Source organism: Homo sapiens, chromosome 10 (assembly GCF_000001405.40).
Source record: "Homo sapiens chromosome 10, GRCh38.p14 Primary Assembly".
NCBI lineage: Eukaryota > Metazoa > Chordata > Mammalia > Primates > Hominidae > Homo > Homo sapiens.
In genome coordinates, this window is record NC_000010.11 from 63,712,326 (window position 1) to 63,716,216 (window position 3,891).

Genomic DNA, 3,891 nt, shown 5'->3' on the forward strand with positions numbered 1-3,891 from the left:
CAGGACATCTAAAGGCAGGCAGATGCCAAAGTACACACGGGGCATTGGGTGTGAGCCTGATGAGAGCAGAGACCGGGAGGCCTAATGGAGGGGCTGGCACAGTGACAGTCTTCAGGACTAGTCTGGCCTGTGCAGCAGCTGCACATGTTCCTGGGATCAGAGCCAGCTGGTGGCTCATGGCAGTGGTTTCTGGGTCCTGGCTCCACCCCAAGACAGGCTCGAGCTCCTTAGCCCTGACCTGGCAATAGCTTTGTTCTGGCTTCACACTGAAGTTTGGCTGCTGAGCCAGAAGGTGAAGGCAGAACCTTGCACTGTCACCCATGCCCTCCTTCCAGCCTGATACACGGGCTGCCCCAGGCAGGGCCAGGGACCAGTGGGAAAAACCAGTCCTCCGGGGTGAAACTTCCATCATCCTCAAAACTTTTGTAGTGGTCTTGCCCTCTTTGGGTCTTCTGGGGGCACTTCAGTGTTGCTATCTGTGCATAAGGCCTCAGGTTAAAGTAGATGTCATATGGGATGGAGCAGAAATCTGGCAGGAGATGCCCTGGCTGTAACAATCCAGAAACATTCAGAGATGACTCTGAGACTGGATTTCAAAACTGGCTTTGGTTTTGCAAGAAATGCCACCCCAGATCTGGTTCTCCAAAATACAGTATCAGGAAACCCACAAAATAAGATGGATTTTAATCTCTATTAGAACATTTCCCAAACATTCCAAATAAAACATCACTAGTGACACTATTGGATATTGATGCTTTCAGTCTTTCCTCAAGTGTGGATAAAGCATCTTCAGAACATTTTAGTAGCTTTATTGATTGGAACAGGCAATCTAAGTAAAAGCAAAGTGCTTGCTATGCAAATAAAGCTTCTAGACAAGACTCCAGTCTCCCTCTGGCAGCAGCTTGCCATCCCAAACCCCTCCCATCTGGGACTCTGAAATCTGCTTTTAAAATACAGTCTGTATTTGCATGTCCCAACACCCCCCTCCTTGTTTTAGTCTAATTCTCCCAGGTTGAGAGAAACACAATAAAGGAAATTTTGTTGTTGTTGTTTTCAGTGCTTCCTTTTCACAGACTCTTTTTTTGGAAACCGCAACCTCGGATCCCAGCAGAGCTTCCTGGGGACTTGAAGAACATCAATCAGTTTCGCAGCTGGAGGCCGAGGCTTTCCTCAGGGAAGACTTTTTACATAAAACAGATTGTACTTTGTCCTTGCCAGGGCAGACAAAGATTTAAATTAAATATGCAGAAAGCTCCAGTTGGCTGCCTGCCACAGCCTGGGAGAGGGGGAAGGGAGATTGTGTCCCCACTCTCCTTCCTTTCTCTCTAGTTGTTTCTTTTTCCCATTTCTGTTATTACAGTGATAGGAGCCAGCAGTTAAGAGACTTGGGCTTTAAGCTGGGATTTTCTGTAAATTCACTGTGTGATGTGATACAAGTCACTCAGCCTCTGGGACCTCAGTTTCCTCTTCTACAATGAAGAGTTTGAATGAGATGATCTTTGAAAGTCTTTTCCGTATTTAACCTTCCAAGTTATCTCCAAACTCAGATGCATGCTTTTCCAGCAAATACCCTAAGCCTCATCTATGAGTAATGCATCCTCACTGTTCCTGGGGTGACTGGAAGGACCTGGCCTGTTTTCCCATACACCTCACGGGCCAAGCAGTCACGTTATAAGGGAGGGAGGCCCAGTAAAACATGGTAAGTGGCAACTGACTTTGTATCTCAGTTTTAGGGAGTATAAGAGAATGGTGGGGATTGTGGCAAACTGAAGAGAAAGAGTCTTCCCAAAAAGGGGCATCCTCTACCCAAGTTGACTCAAGTCAGTTGTTGCCACTGGGAATGTGGGTCACTGGGACAGCCAGTTCTTCGTGTGGTGTTTTTTTTTTTTTTTTTTTTTTTTTGAGATGGAGTCTCACTCTTTCTCCCAGGCTAGAGTGCACTGGTGCGATCTCGGCTCACTGCAACCTCCGCCTCCTGGGTTCAAGCTATTCTCCTGCCTCAGTCTCCCAAGTAACTGGTATTATAGGCATGCGCCACCATGCCTGGCTACTTTTTTGCATTTTTAGTAGAGATGGGGTTTCACCATGTTAGCCAGGCTGGTCTCGAAATCCCGACCTCAAGTGATCCACCCACCTCAGCTTCCCAGAGTGCTGGGATTACAGGCATGAGCCACCGTGCCTGGCCCAGTTCTTTTTTATAGTGTGAAAGTGCTAAACTTTTAAATATTGGCAATGAATTAAGAAAAACTCTGTGTGCTTCACAAAATAGATAAATAGATCTGTGGGCTGAATTCATCTTGAAGATTAGTTTGCCAGGTCTTCGTGGACCTTAAGAAGATAAGGTCTTCTCTGTCTCAGAACTGTTGAGAAAACCTATGTGTTTAAAAGTGTGTTGTAAGCTGCAGCAAAGTACTAGAGACATAAAAAGCAGAACCTTAATAGGTTGTTCATCATATTTTTCAATATAGAAATTTTACACTGGAGGGTAGGTTTCAGGAAGATAACTTGATCCCTAATCAACTTCCAAATCAAGTCATGGCTGGGGAGTTAATGATTCTGTTCTTTTGTTCATTAAAAATAATTTATAATTTCTACCTCCATATTAAAAATTGATTTCATGCTATTAGCCTTGTGGGAAAAGCAGGCTATAATATAATATATATTTAAACTTCATATTTCTATATTCTGTGGTAAGTGCAGCCTTTTATGTTATGATTAACATATTAAATGAAAGTATCATTTTAGTATAAAATTGAATATGGAAAATTGATATGAGTAATATACATTTTAGTCAATATTTCTGCCATTTGAATTCACAAGGATATAATGTATATCTTCTACAATACTATAATAATTGCAAAAAAAGTATGCAAAGTACAAAAGCAACATGACAGAAGTTCTATTTTCTTTATACTAAAGTATTAAACCTTATCTGCAGAAAGACAGAAAGAGGAACAGAGAGAGAGAGAATCAAATGAAAGTTGAATTTAGTCTTTTAAAACATACATGGTAGCTGAGCGTGGTGGCTCACACCTGTAATTCCAGCACTTTGGGAGGCCGAGGTGGGCAGATCACAAGGTCAGGAGATCGAGACCATCCTGGCTAACATGGTGAAACCCTGTCTCTTCTAAAAATACAAAAAATTGGCCGGGCGTGGTGGCAGGAGCTTGTAGTCCCAGCTACTTGGGAGGCTGAGGCAGGAGAATGGCTTGAACCCGAGAGGCAGAGCTTGCAGTGAGCCGAGATCCGGCCACTGCACTCCAGCCTGGGCGATAGAGCGAGACTCTGTCTCAAAAACAACAACAACAACAACAACAAATACATAGTAGTAGCTAGATTACTTTTGTTTTTTTAACTGTATAAGAAATACAAATTTTAATTTCGGGAATGTGTATGATATATACTGCAGTTTTTAATTTATTTAAGTGATGTGCAAGTAATAGGCACAGGTGATAATTTAGGAAACAAGATAAAGTGAATCCCATATTGAAATGCCATAATTTCAGAGTAAAATAATGGAAATAGTACTTAAATATAAAGCTTTTGCTTTTACATGGATAGATAACAATTCTGTTTTCAATTTTTTTCATGATCTTAGCAACTTAAGACATAAATATTTCATTTCTTTATCCTTTTTTCTAGAGTTTGTCTCATTTTCTTCCCTTGTATTTAAGCTTTTTATCTTTTTGCCTCATGTATATAGTCTCATAGATTTGATCGATTAATGTATAGTTTCTGATGATGGAGTTTAGAACATGCTGCCTCAACATAGAGCATCTTGGCATTTGAGAAAACAAAAGCAGGAAGGACTCTGACCTTCTCCCTTTCTTCTCCTTTGAAGCAGGTCATAAAAGAATTCTCTGACTTTCCTCTGAAGCAGATCATAGTATT

At 41.7% G+C, this 3,891-nt stretch overlaps 1 annotated feature.

The window, feature by feature from the left end:
- Positions 951-1,629: an enhancer, noted in NCBI's record as "OCT4-NANOG-H3K27ac-H3K4me1 hESC enhancer chr10:65473036-65473714 (GRCh37/hg19 assembly coordinates)". NCBI's record gives its function as "activates a minimal SCP1, AML or CMV promoter by ChIP-STARR-seq in naive and primed H9 embryonic stem cells {active_cell/tissue: H9 hESC(naive and primed)}" and the evidence as "EXISTENCE:reporter gene assay evidence [ECO:0000049][PMID:30033119]".